The 22,486-nt window shown below is 36.1% G+C and overlaps 1 protein-coding gene and 1 pseudogene across 11 annotated transcripts in view; both read right to left on the minus strand.

Annotated features, from left to right (window-relative positions):
- The window catches only part of SLC44A5 (solute carrier family 44 member 5), a 521,887-nt gene that overhangs the window by 328,912 nt on the left and 170,489 nt on the right, over positions 1-22,486 (minus strand). For 6 of the 11 annotated variants that reach the window (NM_001130058.2, NM_001320287.2, NM_001320285.2 and 3 more), the window contains one exon: positions 10,395-10,476. The exons of the other annotated variants lie outside the window; for them this stretch is intronic. In NM_001130058.2, coding sequence (NP_001123530.1) covers positions 10,395-10,407 — 13 coding nt within the window. In that variant the 5' untranslated portion in view covers positions 10,408-10,476. The remainder of the gene's footprint in view (positions 1-10,394; positions 10,477-22,486) is intronic. 11 annotated transcript variants of the gene reach the window in all.
- Positions 6,975-7,079, minus strand: RNU6-503P (RNA, U6 small nuclear 503, pseudogene; annotated as a pseudogene).

Genomic DNA, 22,486 nt, shown 5'->3' on the forward strand with positions numbered 1-22,486 from the left:
CCTATTGCAGCTTTATCAAGATGCGCTCCACAGGACAATAACATGGGAAGATGCCCCCCAGATTGCCTTTCATGAGCAATAAATGTAGAAGCAGCTACACAACACAGCTTTTCTCTTGGAGATTCAGAAAGCGCATTAGCATATTAAAAGATTTTTTAAAGCCTGTCCATAAATAGACCTATTTATCTCTGTTTAATCTGATATTTAATCTGCTTTCTGCCAAACATTTTTAAAAATTATTTTTAATTTGTATACATTTATCTTGTAAAATATATTGCCAAACTTTTTTGACCACTGAATACCTATTAAGATCTCAGAGAACTGGTATCCCAAGAAATATGCTTGAGAAAAAGCTGACCTGCTCAGTCATTCATATATGCTGCTGCTTCTTGATCACCTAGGGCTACCCTATAAGGTCAGGCATTGACCATTTGATGTCCTAAAGCTGTGTTTCTTAAACTTCTACATGCATATGAGTCACTGGGGATCTTGTAAAAACATAGATTCTGATTCAGTAGGTCTAAGGTGGGCTCTGAGAGTTGGGGTTTCTAACAAGCCTCCAGTTGATGCCAATGCTGCTGGTCCGTGTCACACTTTGACAAAGCTCTACAGGGACCTGGCAATGGGAAAATATTCATATCTCCAATCTCTTTATCTTACCATCCTTAGTAACAAATCTTCCTAAAATACTGCTTTCATTATGTCACTTTGCTGGTCAAAACTTTCAGTGCTTCCCTCTTCTCTTCCACATTAGTCATTCAATGATAGACATTTATTAAACCTTTATTGTGTGGTAAATAGATTAAGAAAGCCTCTGTCCCTATATACTCAAGAAAGAGGTGGGTAAGAAACAAGGCACAGAATGCTGGGAGCCAAAACAGTAGAGAATAGCTAATTTCAGTAATTTGAACGTGCTACATGACTAGACCAATAATTCCCAAAGTGTGTTGCCCAAACCATCAATGGAAACCATCAGCATCACCTGGAAACTTGTTAGAATGCAAATTCTCAGGGCTCATCCTAGACCTACTTAATCAAAAACTTCAGAAGTGGGGTCTAGAAATCTGAGTTTTAACAAGCTCTCCAGGTGGTTGAAAACCACTGGATTAGACAATCAGTAAGTTTCTCTCCAGCTCTAAAATTCTATCATTTTGACTGCTGATACCTCTTTCAATGATTTTTGTTATCCAGACTTTTATAAACTAAAAGCATACTCTCGGGAATTAACTTCCGGGATTTAAAATCCACCTCTTACACTTAATTGCTGTTTACACTTGCACGTTACTTCAGTTGTCTAATGCTTCAGATTATCATCTATAAAATGAGGGCAATAATAGTTCCTATTTTCATACGGTTGTTCTGAAAATTAAATAAACTATAATAAGTAGCCAACCAGGCAAGATGCCTGGCATGTGGTGCTTCAGATCATAACACAGTCATTACCCTCTTAATAAGGCCTTCTTTGGCCACTCTATCCAAAATTGCCACCCACCCCTACCATTTCCTTGTCCCCTTCCCTGCTTTATTTTTCTCCTTTGCAGTTATTATTCTCTAACATACTACATATTTAAATTGTTGCTTTCTTTACTATCATTTTCCACTAGAATGTAAGAGCTATAAAACTGCCAAAGATTTTTGTCCATTTTGCTAAGAGCTGTATCCCCAGTGTTCAGTATAGAGTTTGGCACATTATAAGCACTCAAAACATATTGGTTGGGGCTGGGTGTGGTGGCTCATGCCTGTAATCCCAGCACTTTGGGAGGCCAAGGTGGGCAGATAGCCTGAGCTCAAGAGTTCGAGACAAGCCTGGGCAACATAGCAAAAACCCATCTCTACCAAAAATACAAATTAATATATATAGGTTGGATGAATAAGTGAATAAATGTTAACTATTATTGATATTTATCTTATTACTAATAATTAGCAATCTAAACTTTCCTTATTGAAACAGTTTCTACTTCTTGTTCATCGCCACAAATTGCACTTATGTCCCATTCCATGCTCTACTCAAATTATGCCCCATTTCTAAGATGCCCTTCTGCCTAAATTCAGCCCATTGTAGACCCTGCTCAAGTTCTGCCTTTTCCTTTAAAGTTCTCTGATGACTGAATGACTCTGATGATTCTGGCTCTATAGCTCTCTGAATGTCTACATTGTTTACTATCTGTGCCATACAATTTAGCACTTAATTATCTTAATCTAGTGTCAGTAGAATGAGTAACTTTTAAGGAATTTACTGAAAGAGTCTGTGTCATTCATGCAATAAATATTCCATGAAAAATTGGAGGAACGAGGCCCCAACGGAAACAATAGAAAACCTTATCATTAATTATCCATGTTGTCCTTAAATAATAAAAATAGCACTTTACATTTTACAAATAACCCATTAAGGCTGTTGGAATCAAAATGGAGTCCCTTATGTTTAAAAAAATATCTGACAAATAGAGCCAGGGAAGGCAACGAAAAGAAGGCTCTCACACTTGTATACCTGATTACAAAACTTATCACAAAAGACTGCAAATACCAAAACCTTGCAGGAAGGCCACTGCACCCTTGTGTCCAACCTCAGACTGACGTTATCCATGTTATTATATGTCTTTGTACCCAAAGATAACCATTTCAATAAAATTATGTAATACTCCTCATTTTTTCTGTAAAAACTCTTTGTCTTCCTTTACCTATCTGAATACACACATAGTTTACTATGCACATTTCCCCATTGCAATACCCTATTCTTGAATATTTTCTTTTAGAGAGCTTCTCTGTGACTTAAGTTGACACACTTTTTAACATATCATCCTAATTTTGATTAGATGATCTCAAAGACTATGTATCCTTGGTCTCAAATTTTCGAAACGTCTTTAGGTAAATTATGAAGAGACCATTTCCTGAACTGTAAAACATAAGAATAAATTGCAAAAGTCATAAAAAAAGCAGATAATTACCCAAGAAGTTGTCAAGTTCAGGGATGGAAAATAAGTGGCTCTTTTGCCCTGAGTCCTCCTGCCAACTGGATCTGCAAAAGGTTTCACCATCATCCCCATGCAGTACTCGAGACAGGCATTATCAATTGATCAGAGCTGGCAGAAAAGGGGACACCTATTTGCCATGCTATCTTACTCTAACCATTCTGCTTTTAAATGTAAAGGAAACAGATATTTAAAATTTTAAAGTGATTTACCTTTTGCAAATCACCTGTTAAAGTCGTCGGAATCAAAATGGAGTCACTTATGTAAAAAAGAAAAAAAAAATAAAGCCGGGCTCCATTTGTCCAGGTACATACATGGTCATACATGGTGACAGAACCAAGACCTAAGCCAGCCTCCTGATTCTGTCCAGGGCTCTCTGCCCCTCCTACTCCATTTCTGAAATTCAGTACCTACATTTTCATTCTAAAGCAATCAAAACATAAGAAGCAAACCTTTGACAGAGAGTTTTCATACTAATGCTCATTAATATAATGCTGAAATGAAAAATGACAGCTTCAAGTCAAGTGACAGACAGGGTTGGTTAGCCTGTTATTTTTCAGTTCAGTTTATTTACCTAAACCTAGAATGTGTCATGACTGGAAATAGACAAAACAGATTATTCTAATTCCACTGTCCTAGAAAAAGAAAAGGAAAATAGTCCTCATTAATAGGAACTGGGCTCAAATCCAGTCCTGAAATAACTTCCATTACTGAATCAACTTTTTAAAGGTGACTTTTCGTTTATTAATGGCAAAGCATTTTAAGCATAGCTTTAATTACTCAGTTTAAATTATAGGCAGACATACAGAATTGGAAAAATAAGAAAAAGAGGTGAGAGAGAGATAAACATCTACTTTAATATAATGACCATTCCCTTACTATGGAAATTATGCCCACATTATAATTTTTCTGGAGCCTCTCTCTGAATCACAGCTTCTAAATATTAAAATCACCTCTATAATGCAGTTGGAATAAAAACTGACTTGTCAAATTGTACCTAGTCAATTGATAATTCTATCTTGATTAACTCTCATTTTTTAGGCTTACTATAATTGAAGCTGCTTTTTTTTTTTTTTTTTTAAAGAAAAATCATCATCTAACACAGAAAATGCTTCTGGCACAATCTGCTTACCTAAGGAAACCAGGATAACAGGCAGTTCTGTTACTTCACAGAGTTAATCCATTTTAGCACCTATGTTACTTAGTTACAAGGTACCAGCAGTTGGTCCTATAGTTTGTCCTTTCGCCCTGAGAAGGTGAGCCTGATACATATTTGAAGGAAGAAGGAGGAAAGCAGCAAGTACACAGAATCACTTCTCAGCACGCACCCTGCCACCACCCTGGGAGAAATGCTGAATCCGCAGCTGAAGTTCAGGGTCTGTGCTGCCCCTCCTCCATGCAAAAGGGCAAGTCAGTTCTAGGGTTCTTCCATCGTGTGGAAACAATGCCAAAGGCCCTCAGAAAAATCCAGCCACAAAGCTGGAGTGATTCTCACCTTAGCCCCCTAAGTTAGCCCAAAGATCACTGGTGTACCATGAATTGGGGTCAAAGCAAGAATGTCACCAAGAGTTCTGGCCATATCCCACCATGCTAGCCTGGGCATGGTACCTTTAGACAAACAGGGTAGCCAGGACAAATTTTGACTTCTAGAAAGTAGACTAGTATTTCCTAAAGAATGGTGCAGGAAACACTGGAGAACTCTACTCTCTAGCCTAGTCATTACAAAAAATCAGAGATGGCTTCCCCTGTATCACATTACTGAATGAGTTTTTCAGGCAATAGATTTAATCATCTGGAAAAGAGTACAAGTACCCCAACTCACTCAGCAGAAACATTTTTAGTAGTTGGCATCTAAGACACCATTCACAATTACTGGAAACCCTATAAAACACTACCACTTTCATAATAAAAACCCAAGGCCAGGAGCGGTGGTCCATGCCTGTAATCTCAACACTTTGGGAGGCGGAGGCGGGAGGATTGTTTGAGCCCAGGAATTTGTGAGCAGCCTGGGCAACATAGCAAGACTTCGTCTCTTGAAAAAAAAAAAAAAAAAATCCTTGAGAAATGGCTATATGCTTGCTAAATCCGAAACAGTAGGTAGAAAATAAGTTTAAGAGTAGAAAGGACTTGATAGGGAATTACAGTTTGGTCACTGCTCAGCTCTGTAACCTTGAGTGAAATTACTTCCTATCTCTCAGTCTAACTTTTCTCTTTTTAAAAATAATCATAATAAAACTAATTTCCCAGCAGAGTCCTGAGGATTACATAAAAAACACGGAAAAAGTGTCTTCATAAAAATGCCTGGCCCGGCCAGACGCGGTGGCTCACGCCTGTAATCCCAGCCCTTTGGGAGGCCGAGGCGGGTGGATCACGAGGTCAGGAGATCGAGACCATCCTGGCTAACACAGTGAAACCCCGTCTCTACTAAAAATACAAAAAAAATTGGCTGGGCATGGTGGCGGGCGCCTGTAGTCCCAGCTACTCCGGAGGCTGAGGTAGGAGAATGGCATGAACCCGGGAAGCGAAGCTTGCAGTGAGCCGAGATCGCGCCACTGCACTCCAGCCTGGGCGACAGAGCAAGACTCCATCTCAAAAAAAAAAAAAAAAGAAAAGAAAAGAAAGAAAAAAAAAGCCTGGCCCATGATAAAAAATAAATAAATAAATAATTATTATTTTCTTCTCCCATTTTCTTTTTACTAGCAAAGAAAATATCTAGGCCGGGCGCGGTGGCTCACGCCTGTAATCCCAGCACTTTGGGAGGCCGAGGCGGGCGGATCACGAGGTCAGGAGATCGAGACCATCCCGGCTAAAACGGTGAAACCCCGTCTCTACTAAAAATACAAAAAATTAGCCGGGCGTAGTGGCGGGCGCCTGTAGTCCCAGCTACTTGGGAGGCTGAGGCAGGAGAATGGCGTGAACCCGGGAGGCGGAGCTTGCAGTGAGCCGAGATCCCGCCACTGCACTCCAGCCTGGGCGACAGAGCGAGACTCCATCTCAAAAAAAAAAAAAAAAAAAAAAAAAAAAATATATATCTATGCCAAATGATTCTGAATATGTATATAGCTTAAAAACTTAAGTAACATGCCAGTGTCTTATCTATGAAACTGTTGTTTGTATTGGTAATTTGAAGCAACTACTATTTATGTATGTAATTATATGTGAAATTTGAATGAATTATAACTCTGGGCAATCATCTAGTTGAACAATTCAAATTGGTACCATAATCTGGATCTCCTTTTCCAGAAATACATTGCAACTTTATTTCTCTTCTAATCAATCTCATTATGATGGAAGAGAAAGAGGGAAAATCTATCCCTCATCAGTTGAATAATAGCAATGTGTTATGGCTTCTTTTCTACTGAGTCCATTTCTTTTGTGTTAGATAACATGTATCTCTCAAAGTATTTTTGCTTATCTGTCTTCTAGAGCCTGCTTATGCATCTTATATTGCAAATATATCATTCTGTTCAGTTTTAGAAGCAAGTATGTACAATTCTGAAAAAGGAGGAGAGAAAGAAATGCATGTTTGATGCATCTAAGAGAACAGGCAGAAACAGCCTATGGCCAAGGACAACAGCAGGCTTGTCCATCTGCCCATCATCAAACTGAACTGTGTCCACTAGTTATCAGCAGGGGGTGGCCAGTGGGCATCACACTAAAATAGAATTTCTGCCATTGGGAATACAAGGTGAGGAGGGAAGAAATTGTTTCAGAATCCATTTCTGCTTTGGCATGATGTATATAAAGAATTGTTGCTTGTTTCTTACACATAAATATAAAACTTCTTTCATTCTTTTTTTTCATTTATTAAACATTTTCTGGATGCGTTTTAGGATCTAGGCACTGTGCTGGCCACTAGGAATATAAAGAATAATTTCTTTCTTTAGCGATTCTGTTTTCTGAGGGGGACAGAGAAGTAAACAAATAATTATAATACAGTAAGATGACAGCTAATATACATACAATGTGCTATTGGAACCCAAAGAAAGAAGTAATTAACTATGCAAAAATATAGCAGGTTTACAAATTTGTGAGGCATCTTTGCAAGAGGCTATGCTAATCTTCTCTGTAATATTCCAGTGTTGATACCAACAGGAATGAGACCACTACAGGAGTGAGACCAACCACAGAAGTAGAATAGAACATCCAAGAATAAACAGATGGATCTTGATGAGTTATGCTTATCTTAGGGTAGGAGAAAAAAGTGTTTATTGTCTTTATCTTCATTTGTTACAGTCTTTTTTATGTGTGTGTATGTTTATGATATAATTTTTAACCTTAGTAATAGCATCTAAATGTCTCAACCTCTGTATTCTATATCAGTATGCTTGAGGGTATGACCACTGGAAAACACAGATATAGATATGATATAAATGTAGATATAGATGCAGATTGTAAAATAGATTTAGATAGCTTCTTGTCTCTGGAAATACTACTTACAATATATTTTTTAAATTTTACAATAAAGCATTGTCTTTTAGGTAATTTCCTAACAGAAAAGTGAAGATAAGGCATAGCATTTATTGGCACTTAGCAAAATTAAGATGTTAATACAAATACAACCTTAGTGTGCTTTTAGACATACTATAAAGGCTTCTTTTCGATTACAGAAATGAAGAAGGAACGAATTGAGGCACTCCAATTTCAGCTAAAGTAGAAAGTGTGGGTAAACTGTCAGCTTACTGTTTAAATGTCTGTTGGCTTTGTTACTAGCACACTAATTTGGAAACAAAATTCACATCGGTTTCCAATAAAATTTATTGTTCCTCTTTGAGGCAATTTTTTGTGCTAATTTACCCAAGTCTCATCTTGGGTGTCCCAGGCATTCCTCTGTGCTGTTCCTGAAACCATACATTGGCCTGGAGCTATTTGAGTAATAATATTGGTGTTCCCCCTCCATGCCCCAGTCACAGGAGCCAGTGGCACATTCTGAAAGGTATCCAAGACATTTGCTTGCCCCAGGAGCACCATGGTTTTAAGCATCAGGCTTAGCCAGGGTCTAAGTCTGCTTTGAAGAACCCACTCCAAAGAGTAACAGCTGTCACTTTGCCTGTCTCTGTCCTGGTGGACACCAAAACTTAAATAGTCTATCCCCTGACGAATTCAAGAGAATATAGTCACATTGTTATTATTATCCATCAATTGTACAAGACATAAAAAGTCCTAAACTTACCTCTAATCTCTACTTTAGTCAGATAATTGACTTTTTTCACATATCAAAATTTCATTTGTACCTTACCTACATGTAATGAAAACCACAATGCCTGTGGATATAGCTTAATGTTTTTATTCTTTCCACTTGTCAACTCTGTATAAGTAATTTGAGGTCACTGTTCTCAATGTGTTTCTCTTTTAATAATATCTAGCACAGCTTCACAGGCAACTTTATTTTAAATGAATGTTTTCTATTGATAGTGGTGGTGCTAGAGGTGTTGCCAGCTTTTCTGTTCCACTCCAACAAGTATCCAAGTGTTGTCCTATGAGTGAATAAAGTTTTGCCAAGATCTACGTTATTTTCTATGCCTTTTATTACAAATTTCTAGCCAACATAATTTTTCATTCCCTGCGTATGTAAAAACTGCAAAAAAAAAATGGAATTTAAAAATAAAAAGTAAATGTCCTTACGCAGTAATGGCTCAAGCCTTGAGTAATGGCTCAAGCCCAAGGAATCTGACTCATAAATGCTACGGAGAAAGTCATTCATTAACTTAAGGTCAAAGACATGCAAGCTACTTGACAATAAATGGAGGCCAACAGAAACATTAATTAGTGGAAATGTTTAAAAAGTAGACGTCACTGTGAAAGCAATGGCTTATTTCTGATGATGAAAGGTGTGATATCTCTTCTAGGTTATTTATTAACAATAGCCAATATTCAGAAAAAAAGAGATAAATGAGCAACATAGAAAAGGACTAGGTAACACCCAACTTATGAGCAGCTTCAAAACTCCAAGAGCATGCCAGTTGTATAGTTTTAAGAAAGTATTTTCCCTTACGGTATTGTTAGACATGGTAGAAACACTTTGCTTTCAGCTCACATAAGCCAATCTAAATATAATGTAGTTGAAATATAATATTGCCCTGGTAATTCTATATTAAATTCACCTAACCCTTTGTAACACACTTCTGAATTTCTATCTGTGAATAATAATGAAAAAACACCATTTATTGAGCATATATGTACTACTTCTCAGGCACTGTGCCAATTTAATCCTTACCTCAGTCTGTAAGATAATTATTATTGTTATTTTTTACAGATGCGCAAACAAATCTAAAATTCTAAAACAATCTGCTATAGGCGAGAGTATGTTAATAATGCTGTATGTATGCATAAGAGAAAATGTCCTCTAAGTCTGTCGTTCTCCAGTTTTCATACTTAATAAACAAGAAGCAATCCACAGTCAAAGGGCAGAGGCTCTGGACACAGAATTCCCTGTAACATGTTCACAAGATCAGATAAATGCCTCTGTCAGTGACTGTCCATATAGTACAATGTATTTGCAGCCTTGAGGAACATGTGTAGATTCAAACATATTCTGGGTTCCTCTTTTAAGAATCTTGTTAGACAGACCTTTAGATCTTATTTTTAATAACTCTTAATCTTTTTTATATACTCAGCCAAAGATCAAAGCTGCTGCTTAACTTTAAGCTATACATTCTGTATTTTCTACTTTAACTTGTACTTATGCCACATTTTTTTTTCATAGCAAGAGATAGATTTACCTTCACGAAGGAATACAATTTGCCCTTAAGGAAATGGTATTCATTTTCAATAAACATTTGGTAAGTAACTACTTTTTCAAAAGTCAAAGACTAAGTCCGAAGAAGGTAAAAAGATGGATAAGACCTAACCTATGCCTGTAAGGGGCTTAAAATCTAACTATGGGGACAGAAACTGAATCAGGGCTAAGTTTGAAGTAAAGCCTCACACTCCCTCTCCAAAGAACAATTTCTGACACAGTATTGTTTCTCTAAGGAGCAAGCTCTAACTTTGTCTCAATACGAGAAAGGGGGCTAAACAATAATTGTCTAGGATAAACTGTTAAAACTAAAAGATTCTGGTTCTACCAATAACTCTGAGGGAGAGGGGGCAACGCTGGAGAAAGGGAACAGTTTCAGAATTGACATAAGTGTGCCTGAGGATGTTCCTTTACAAACCACATACCCCCAGCTTGCCATGTTCCCAAGAATCACTGCTATAGGGAGTCCAGGTATAGAAAGGAAGACGTCATGCGTCTCAGAATCTTGAGACAGGCAAAGACGGAGAACCACAAGGTCTAACATGCTGTAGTTTTCCAGGTGCAGCTTCCAGTGACAACATAGTATATACTCATTTTTCTATTTGTCCTTATTTAATATTAAATAAAAAAGAATATTTGGCACAAAAGTCCAGATCAAGAGGAACTTAATTCAAGTAGGTGATTACCTGTGTCATTCATTGAGATAAAAGGCTGTCTCTTCAGAAGTAGGCCTGAATCACTGCAAACTTGAGTTGCTTAGAAAAGAGTCTGTGATAAAAACAAGTATGAAGATAGTTACCTAAAGCAAATTATTTTTACTCATTAACAACTAACCTTTTGGGAATGCTCTCATAACTTACTATAATTTACTCTCCCCAAAAACTCAGAGAATTAGCCTAATTCTCTTCTACACATAAAATACCGCAGATATTTTCTCTCTTTGGAGAAGCAGCCTTTCTCCTTTTTACCAAAATGAAATTCTTAGTGCCACAGCTTCCTAAATCTATTTCAGTCCTTATATTTATCTTTTATCTATTTTCACACTTCACGTTCCCCCTGTAAAATGCACCCCTAACCAGTTGATATTCTATCTTATCTTCCATCCTCATGCACCATTTAGCATTTACATTTATGTTTTATGTTTTGCTGCCACACTGATTACCAAATGGTGGTGGATGACATTTTTGTTTTGAGTTCAGCATTTTGTTTCTGTTTTAGTTTTAGGGCGAGGGGTTTTTTAAATGGTATTATATGGCATTTAAAATTATATGGCATATCACTCTATAAAAATTTAAGTTAAAGAAAAGCCTTTTTCCAAATGAAGGGGAAAAGCTATTCAATTTTACCACATAGAAACCACTGCTAAAATTTTGGTATTTTTCCTTGCAGCATTTTTTTCTATGTATGTTTTTTAACTTTTCATTTTGAAATAATTTCAGACTTACAGAAAAGCTGCAGAAATATACAGAGAGTTACCATGTACCCTTCACCCAGCTTCTACCATTAATATGTTAATGACTTCCATAACCATAGTATAGTTGCCTAGATCTTCTATGTATATTTTGACAAGGTTGAATTTATATTTTTTGTTCATTGCTTTTTTTGCATTTAATATGATAGCATAAGCATTTATATTAAGTTCTTCAAAAATATTTTAATGTCCAAGTAATGTCATACTACATAAATGAATATTTTAATTAATTATTTCCATACTGTTGGATATTGAGATTGTGATTTTTTCTATTATTAAAAACTCTCATCAACATGTTATCATTTTTTAAGTATCTACTAATTTTATGGGTCAAAAAGGTAGTCTCTCATTTTAAATTGCTTTTTTGTAGTTATTATTGAAGGTGAACATTTTAAATGCTTACAGTTTTTATTTCATCTTTTGTAAACTGTTTATTCAGGCCCTTTTCCTTGTACTGATTGGTGTCTGAATGTATTACTTACAAAGTTATGTAAAGCTTACATATTTAAGATTAAGCTTTTGACTCAAAGATTACAAAGTGTTTTATTGTTTTGTATTCACCTTTTGATTATTTTGTTTTTATTGCAATAATCCAAAATAATTTTGCTGACTGAAAACAACATATCTCTTTTATAGTTGTAATTTGTAATTAAATAACTTTTCTATAAAGTAAAACTTCCTTCCATTCTTCAACTCAGTATTTCTCAAACTAAGATCTATCAACCACTAGTTATCTGAACATGTGACTCTTGGGAATGATAGGAATTTCCTTCCTTAAAAGAGTCTATATATTATTCAAGTTTGACAATTACTGCAAAAGGTACAAAAGTCAAAGGAGGAATTCCATGTTTAATAAGATGCCATGCATACACAATAAAAACACTTTATCAAAGGATCAGTTAGTATTGTATGTTTTCTAGTGTTAATTATTTTATACTATTTTAATGTCTTATAAATACTCATAACTGACAACTAATTTCTTTTGTGTTGTTACAAGCTGAACATCAAAAAGCTGTATTTCACTTCTACAATACTAAATTGCTTAAAAGTCCCAAGGCACCCCTAGCTCTTATGTCAACTACCTCTGCTCCCTTTGCCTGGAGTACTCTCTCACTCCATTCCTCCACCTCAATCAAGTGGAAAGCTTGTGTGCCTCATTGTCATTCCTCTCCACCAAACCATCCCGCAAAAATATCTGAGTTGTTGTATTCTCTGCTAACTTTTTCTCCATGTTTACTTTCACCGCTGCATTATCCTGGCATTTTGTTATGTAGCTGTTGCCCCTCGCAACTGTCAGAGACTGTTCTCGATATTAAATTATCATCGCTGTAATTCCAGTGAGGCTAGAAAAGTTCCTATATATATATATAAATAAATATATATATATATACACACACACATATATATACGTATATATACACATATATATACACATATATACACACATATATACACACATATATATACACATATATATACATATATATATATAATTGGAACTTCTTTAATGTTTATAAAATGAATTATCCATATAAGGTAGCAATCATCTGGGAGAGTTCTAAGAAGCCCAACCTTGTTTGCTAAATTGTACTGACAAATAATACTGCAAGTTCATCTTCCAGCTCTGCAATCAGTTGTCTCATGGGATCCACACTTCATTTTGGCAATGTCAAATGCTTTCTATTCTGTGATGAGTGACTCAAGCCAAAGATAACATCTTTGCTCAGGCAGGTGATTAATAATCACTCTTTATAAAGACTTTTTATATTGAAATAATTTCAAACTTACAGAAGAGTTGGAAAATGCTATGGTTTGAAAGTTTTCCCCTCTCAAACTTATGGTGAAATTTAATTGCCATTGTAACAATATTAAGAAGTGGGATCTTTAAGAGGTGATTAGGCCATGAGGGCTCTGCTGTTATGAATGAATTAATGCTGTTATCAAGGGCGTCGGTTGCTTATAAAAGGATGAGTTTGGCCCGATTTGTTGCTTACTTTCTCCCCCTCTCTTTGCCCTTCCACCATGTGATGCCTTCTGCCATTATGATACAGCAAGAAAGTCCTCACCAAATGCAGCCTCTCGATCTTAGACTTCCCAGCCTTTAGAACTATAAGCCACTATGTTTCTGTTTATTATAAATTACCCAATCTGTGGTATTCTGTTACAGCAGCACAAAACAGACTAAGACAGAAGAATGAAACAAAGAACTGTTGTATATTCTTTAACCATACTCCTCAATTGTTACCATTTTGCCACTTTTGATTTCTCTTTCTGTGTGCATGTGCACACACACACACACACACACACAACAAAATACTTTTGCTGAACCATTTAAGAGTTACTTGCAGATTATGTCCCTTTATCTCTAAATACTTCAGTGTTCATTTCCCAATAAAGAATGTTCTCATAAATTAACACAGTATATTTATCAAATCCAAGAATTTAACATTTACGCAATACTGTTATCCAATATACAGCCTATATTCATTTTCCTCTAATTGTCCCAATAATGTCCTTTACAGAATTTTTTTCTCTGATCCAGATTCAAGATCACACATTACATGTAGTTGGCATGTCTGTTAATCTCCTTCATCTGGGACACTTCACATTTTGTTTTTCATGACATCGAAATTATTCAGAAGTACCAAGGGATTTTTTTTTATACCTTAAGTTCTGGGGTACATGTGCAGTTTTGTTACATAGGTGTATACACGTGCCATGGTGGTTTGCTGCACCCATCAACCTGTAATCTACATTAGGTATTTCTCCTAATGCTATCCGTCCCCTAGCCCCCCACCCTCCAAAAGGCCCTGGTGTGTGACGTTCCCCTCCCTGTGTCCATGTGTCCTCATTGTTCAACTCCCACTTATGAGTGGGAACATGCAGTGTTTGGTTTTCCGTTCTTGTGATAGTTTGCTGAGAATGATGGTTTCCAGTTTCATCCATGTCTCTGCAAAGGACACGATCTCATCCTTTTTAATGGCTGCATGGTATTCCATGGTGTATCTGTGCCACATTTCCTTTATCCAGTCTATCGTTGATAGACATTTGGGTTGGTTACAAGTCTTTGCTATTGTGAATAGTGCCACAATAAACATACGTGTTCATGTGTCTTTATAGTAGAATGACTTATAATCCTTTGGGTATATACCCAGTAATGGGATTGCTGGGTCAAATGGTATTTCTAGTTCTAGATCACCAAGAGATTATTTTAAAGAATGTCCCTTTGGTTCTGTATGATGTTTCCACTTGGTTAGATTCAGATTATGCTTTTTCAGCAGGAATACTGCATAAACATTGTTGTACATTTCTCAGTATAACATGTCAGGGATCATACCTCAATTTATCTCATCATTGGTGATGTTAACTTTGACTACTCAGTAAGGCGGCATTGGTCAGGCTTCTCCACTTTTCATTCTGTAATTAATAAGTAACCTCCAGGGAGATACTTTGATGAAATGTAAATATCCTGTTCCTCTTCAAACCTTTAGCTTATTGATTATTCTTCTGAATAAATCATTTTATAATGATTGCAAAATGTTGATCTTCTACCTTTACTATTTCTTCTACATTTATTAGTTAATTAACCATTCTTTTTTCTTTTCTTTTTTTTTTTTTCTTTGAGTCAGGGTCTTGTTCTGTCACCCAGGCTGCTGGATTGCAGCAGCACAAGCATGGCTCACTGAAACCTCAACCTCCTCGGCTCAAGTGATTCGTCCCAACTCAACCTCCCAAGTAGCTGGGATGATGGGTGTGTGCCACCACACCAAGCTAATTTTTTTTGCCCAGATGGGGTCTCCCTATGTTACCCAAGATGGTCTTGAACTCCTGGGCTCAAGTGATCCTCCCACCTCAGCTTCCCAAAGTGCTGGGGTTACAACTCCTAGCCAAGGTGCCCAGCCCATTCTTTTTTTGAAAGTTCTTCTCCTTAGTTTGTATTTTTATTCTTCATAAGACTGTTCAAATTCAAAATTTTTTTTTTTTTTTTTTTTTTTTTTTGAGACGGAGTCTCGCTCTGTCGCCCAGGTCGGACTGCGGACTGCAGTGGCGCAATCTCGGCTCACTGCAAGCTCCGCTTCCCAGGTTCACGCCATTCTCCTGCCTCAGCCTCCCGAGTAGCTGGGACTACAGGCGCCCGCCACCGCGCCCGGCTAATTTTTTGTATTTTTTTTTAGTAGAGACGGGGTTTCACCCTGTTAGCCAGGATGGTCTCGATCTCCCGACCTCATGATCCACCCGCCTCGGCCTCCCAAAGTGCTGGGATTACAGGCGTGAGCCACCGCGCCCGGCCCAAATTCAAAATTTTTAAAAGTGGTATCTTTAAACCTATTTTTAAATTTTAATCGCATTTTTCTTTAATTTTTACATTTCCAATGTAACATGTTAAGGACACCTACAGCCGACATTCTATGTTACTCAACCATTTTCTACTTTGTAAAACTTTGAAACTTCTAAGTCTTGCCACAAACTTCTAACTAAAATCGAAGACTAGCTCTGTCTTGTTCCAATGCTCCTTAATCAGTCCTCGAAAATGTCTAACTCCTACCTAGGAATCTGGTGATTATATTAAGGGTCTTCAGAAGGTTCATGGAAAGTGTGTATTATGAAAAAAAGAACCATGCATGGATTTTAAAAACTTTGCACCAAAATAAACTCATACTAACTTGTTATAAAAATGTCTGAAGAGGATCTAGTTTGAGATGCTAAGACATCACTTTGAAAATACCCCTTATCACAGCAACATGAATTCTGCTAAAATTGAAGCAAGAACAAACATTAAATTTATGGTAAAGTTTGGATGAAAGAATAATGAAATCATTCATGTTTTATGAAAAGTTTATAGGAATGGCCCAAAGAAATCAGCAGTTTACAAATGGATAACTCATTTTAAGAGTTAACTCATTTTAAAAAGGGATAAGACCACACTGAAGATGAAACCTGTGCAGGAGACCATCCACATCAATTTCCAAGGAAAAAAATTCAACTTTATTATGTCCTAATTGAAGAAAACCAAGGATTAACAGCACAAACAATAGCCAACACCATAGCCATCTGCATTGGTTCAGCTTACACAATTCTGTCTGAAAAATTATAGATGAGCAAACTTTCCACTCAATGGGTGCCAAAACTATTGCACCCAGATCAGCCACAGAAAAGAGCAGAACTCTCAATGGAAATTTTAAATAAGTGGAACTGAGATCCTGAAGCATTTCTTCAAAGAATTGTAACAGGAGATGAAACTTAGCTGTGATTCTAAAGACAAAGCACAATTACAGTAATGGCTACCAAGAGGTGTAAGTGGTCCAGTCAAAGCAAAAGTGTCCTGGTCAAGAGAGAACATCATGGCAACAGTTTTTGGGGATGCTCAAGACATTTTGCTTTTTGAGTCTTTGTTGGACCAAAGAACAATAACATCTACTTATCATGAGAATGTTTTTGAGAAAGCAAGCCAAAGCTTTAGCAAAAACAAACAAACAAACAAAACACCCAGGTAAGCTTCACCATAGTCTTTCTCCACTATAAAAATGCACCTGCTCATTCCTCTTAAGAAACAAGGGCAATTTTGCAAGAGTTTCAATGGGAAGTCATTAGACATCCACCTTACAGTCCTGATTTGGCGCCTTCTAACTTCTTTTTGTTTCTTAGTCTTAAAAAATCTGTAAAAGAAACCCATTTTTCTTCAGTTAATAGTCTAAAGTCTGCATTGACTGAATTAAATTCCCAGAACCCTCAGTTTTTTAGGGATGGGCTAAATGGCTGGTATCATCACAAGTGTCTTGAATTTGATGGAGCTTATGTTTAAAAATTAACCTTATACTTTTTATTTTAATACTTTATTTCCATTTTCCACATAAAAATTTATTTTCATAAAATCCAGATTCTGCACAATATTTTTCCATGAACTTTTTGAAGTCTCCTCACATCTCTAGTTTTAGACAGACCAAGTCTCATTTTTATTATGTTTCATTACACAGTGGAGATTAAGGAGGACTTAGTCTAATCTTTTAATTTAGAGACCAGTTTCCTTCTCTTCAACTAGTTCAATTCTGTGTTCAGACAAGAATCAAAATAAAATCCTCAGAAAATGGATCGATCTAATAGTTTCAGTGAAAAAATACTTTAGATGCTAACTTTATGAAATTTAATGATCTTTTAACTTTATGAAATTTAATGATCTTTAAAAATGTGTTTACCATTAAGCAACCACTATACTAAATAATAATTTAAGCAATTTTGCTACTAAATATTACTAATTTTTTTTTATTTCTGAAGCTCTCTTTCTAGACTGCAGATTAAGAGCTATTGGTCCCAAATATGCGGTTTTCCCAAGTCAAGTAACCATGTCAAGAAATGCCATTCTGTCTAAAAGGGGCTAAAAAGGACTCAAAGAATACACATAACACATCTCGCATCTGTGAAGACTGTTTACTAATGAGATCATCAAGAAACAGCCAACATCAATTGTTTAGAGTGAAAATTTGAAACTTGGAAACTGTGGCATAGAGCCTCATAGATTTTCATAGCTGGAAAGGACCTTGGTGGTCATATTCAGCCCAAAGCTCCCACTTTGTAGATGAAGAAATTGATACAAAGAGACATGTCATAATTTGACCACAGCCAATTCATGTCAAAGTAAATAAGGATAAAATGTTAATTAAGAGACAAACAGGAGGTTGGTAATTTGAAGAGTCTAAGTTCATTAGTGTTTCTATAACACAATTTAGGGTTTGTCAAGTCCAGTCTGGTTTCCCATATCTTCCATCTTTCCTATCCCAAAAGCTATGGCTATAATCTCAGCCAGGTTTCTGGAAACAATCCTCGTTGAAGACAGATGAGATTTAAGGAAATCTAGTCAACATCTGCAGAATTGATATCAAATTAAACATGTTCTTTTTTTACCTAAGCTCTGATTTTATTTCCAGAGGTTTTGCTTTGACTCTTTGACCAAATTCCCTTCTTGAATACAGTTTGGGTAACTAGACACTGAGATTGGCATTGTTCTCTGTTCTTGAGTTCCAGTCTTGGATAGCTGCCTAGTAAAATACTAAGGCTAGGACTGTATGTTGTTCTTACCAAGCTCTGCTTCTTCCTACAGAAAGAAAAGTTAACCACAAATCTCAGACCAATTGGCCTGCTCCATCATTTAATGATGCAGCTGCCTACATCTTCAAATATTCATGAAACTAAAAATTCTCCACCGCCCCACTCTTCCTTCTTCTTAGTACACCTCTATCACGATGTATTGGATTACTCTATCTCATTTTCAATACCTGTGACCTTTCTCATTTTATTCATTTATTCAACAAACATTTATGGAGTGTCTCTTGTATGTCAAATATTGTGCTAAGCATAGGTGCAGATGGTAGGAATGAAAAATAGTTATACTTTAATTCCTGACCTTAAGGGATTTACAGTCTTGTGACGGCAACAGATTGTAAATGGTACACAGATAAAACCGTGTACTTACAAGGTGAGAAAAGCATCAGGAAGGAAACACAGAATTACCCAGTTTAGTCAGGGAAAAGTTTTCTGGAGAAGTAACATTATATCTGGAGATTTGAAGGATAAAAATGAACTAGCTTGCGAAGCAGTGGAAAAAGTATTTCAGACAAGGAACCAGCAGATGTGAACATCCTGTAAAGGCTCGGGAAATTGGGGAAAGTAAACAGAGATCAGTATGGCTGGAATATATTGAGGGAAGAGGAAAGCTGATTAAATGAGAAAAGAGAAGCAGATTGTACAAACCCTTGTGGGCCATGGGAAAGCATTTTAATTAAAATATAATTGTAATGAGAGGTCATGTTTTTAAGTGAAGAAAAAAACATAGTTTTCATTTTTAAAAGATTATTCTGCTGAGTTGAAAACAGGCATTCAAACAAAGACATGTATACAAATGTTCATAGCAACATTTTTCATAAGAACCAAAAAGTGGAAACAACCCAAATGTCTATCAACTGATGAACAGATAAACAAAATGCTAAATAACCATGTAATGAAATATTATTTGGCCATAAAAAGGAATGAACATCATGGGTTAACCTTGAAAACATGCTAAGTGAAAGAAGCCAGACACAAAAAGCCAGAAATACATGATTCCATTTAAATGAAATGTCCAGAATAGGTGAATTCATAGAGACAGAAATAGATTAGTGGCTTCCAGGGGCTGGAGGATGGGCATGGGATGTGACTGCTTAATGGATGAGGGTTTCTTTTGGGGGTGAGGAAGATGTCCTGCAATTAGACACCAGTGATGCTTGCAAAACATTGTGAATGTATTGAAAGCCACTTCATTGTACACTTCTAAAATGGCAAACATGATAAATTTTACATTATGAAAATTTTACCTTAATAAAAAAAAAAGATCATTATTTGAACAATAGACTACTTTGCAAGAGAGAGGGGCTAGCTGCTGAGGGAGTAATCTCCATACATGGACAAAAGCAGTAACAGCAGAGACCAAGAAATGGGGAAGATCCACTGTAAATTTCACAGGATTTGATGATGTCAGTAACTGAATCAGGGAGAAGGAAGCAGAGAGGAAGGAAGACATCCAGAATTACTCAGAAGCTTCTGAATGAAAGAAGAACATGTTTCAAGAGGAAATGAAGGGCTTAGCTTTGGACTCATTAACCTTGAGATGCCCATGACCCAGTCTAGGATATCCTATGCTAAGACACTTCCACACTTTAGAATATTACTTTAACTTTTCTAAACTTCACTTTTCTCATCTACAAAATAGAAATATTAATAGTGTCTATCTAAGATAATTGTTGTTAGAAAGAAGTTAGGTAATTGATGTAAAGTTTTTAGCACAGTTCTTAACACACAGTAGACCCTCAATCACTATTAGAGATTATTATTGTTGTTATAATCTTTGTTTTAATTACTATACTTATTCCGTATGCTGATTCTCTGTTCCCACTTTCAGCTTCTGCAGATGCTTAGCCCACCCAAAAGGGCTGGTTTTGAATGAAGTTTCAAGCCCTCCCAATTTGCTCCATTTTACTGCAGCTAATGAGTCCATAACTAGTCATAATCTCAGATATATTGACAGGGAGGGACCTGTCTGGTTGAAAATAATATTCATATTCCTTAGCCAGGCAAGTATATTCCTATGGTGGAGAAGGCACACTGAGCTCCAATAACCGTATGACAATTTTACTTTTAAAAGCATCCAACTCACTTTCTTCTAATTTTATGCTTTCTTGGGATCCTCCTATCCTTAATTTTATTTCCCCAAGCTTTCTCTCCCACAGGGATTAAAATGTGCTGACAAGCTGACAGGAGTATTCCAGTCTACTTGGCAGTTAACTTCCTCATAGAGACGTCTAAATTGATGTTCTGGTTTATAATCAGACTCTTGTAAGTTTGGTCAGAAGGGATCAATTTGCCTGGGTCTGTTAACCTCTAGGTGTCCACATAATAACCCAGTTTCTGAACCTGAAAGCTGCATATCAGAACCTGGGCAATGAAAAGCCAACAAGAAATGACACATACACTGTATCACCAGGCTAGAAACAGCCACTCAGACGTCACAATACAATTTTGTACAGAATTGTGAATATTAAGGAGTTAATGTATATTAAAGTGCCTGGCACATGTTAGACTCTCGGTCAACATGAGTTTATTTTTTATTTTTTAAATCATATGCAACTCACAAGGGAAAAGAATCCAAGTCTGAAAAATTTCAGATGAACTGAAATGATCCTACACTTTTTGTGCTCCATCTCAGTCAATCCCTAATTTTCCTTTCTCTGAAAAATTTCTTTTTTAGTGTTTTCTCATTTGGGCAGCTGCCTTTTGCAATTGGCTGTCTCCATAGTTCATCACTCAATAATGCTTAAAGAAAGTATTAGTGCAAATGAAAGTGCTATCTGAGAATAATCGTATATATTCTGAGGAATAATTAGCTCACAAACCCTGTGATCTTGGGCAAGCCACTTAACCTTTCTACATGTCTGTGTCTCATTAGTCAGCAAACGTGCCTCACCAGCCCATCCTATAATGTCTCTTAGTGTCCTTTCCATCCCTAGTATCTGTAAACTATATTCACTACTAAATTCTCAGCACTTAGCACCCATAGGTGCTATTGACATATATGTTGAATGATTGAATGTATGTATTTTAGGCCTATATTTGGTTCACAAATCTCATAAATAAGCCCCATTTTTACAATAAAGAAAAGGAAAATCAGTCACTAACTTGCTTTACACAAAAGTTTAAAAGTTCTAAGCCTTAAAAAATATAACGGCAAAAAAATATATAGGCTGAAATTTGAAAACAGACTCTCATATAGGCATTCTATATGCCAACCTCAACATCATATAAACATATATGAATGAATGAATGTATCTATCGATTGATCAAAACTTGTTGAATTTTTTAAAGCATAAATTGTATGGCTGGTTTTTTTTTTTTTTTCATTTGGGCCCTTTTTCCCACCTCTGAATGCCCAGAGAGCATTGTTCACAATAACTAATTTAACAAATCTATCCTTTTGGAGTGTCTGTTGCTTTAAAGAAATGATGACACTCTTCAACACTGATTAGAATCACAGTACCTAAGAGAAGCTCTTTTATTTTTTGGTGGCATACTTTCTAGAAATTATCTTTGGCTTTTTAGCTCAACTAATTCACATTTGTGGCTACAAAACAATTATAAATGATAACTTTTCCATGCTTTCACCTTTGTTAATAAACGGTTTAAAGAATGAGGGAGGTTTTTTTAAATTCCATTTTAATCTATCGTTCCTGACATTTAACAGAAATCAGGACACCAGTTCAAAAATTACGTACCAAGTCAAAAATGAAAAACTTGAGCTTGCAGAAAAAGTTGTGTTGTCTTTTCTAACAAACTTCACATTTTCCAAAAAAGAAGTAGACTATATTTCTGATTTCTTATTTTGTTCTTCATTTACTCACCATGACTACGGCATGAATACAATTATGTATATTTTCTATACTACAGTTTCTCTCAGTTCAATTAGTTCAGTTTCACAAGTATTATTGACTACCTATTGGGAGCCAGCCACTATGCTAGGTTCTAAGGAGTACAAGAGTAATAAGACATATTTTCTAACTCTCATGAAGTTCACATATTACTAAATTTTTTCATTGTTTTTTCAATATCTCAGCTGCCACAACCATTTTAATCAAATAATTTTACTTTTGCCAGTTTTATATTTTGAGGTTTAATATATAACTGCTTTAATATTTTTGAAAAATTACTGGTCTGAGGGAAGCTAGAAAAATTTAAGTAATTACAATACATCATCATTCAGGTAATAATAAAAGCATTGTCTTACCC

The sequence above is a fragment of the Homo sapiens genome, chromosome 1 (assembly GCF_000001405.40).
Source record: "Homo sapiens chromosome 1, GRCh38.p14 Primary Assembly".
NCBI classification, from domain to species: Eukaryota; Metazoa; Chordata; class Mammalia; order Primates; family Hominidae; genus Homo; species Homo sapiens.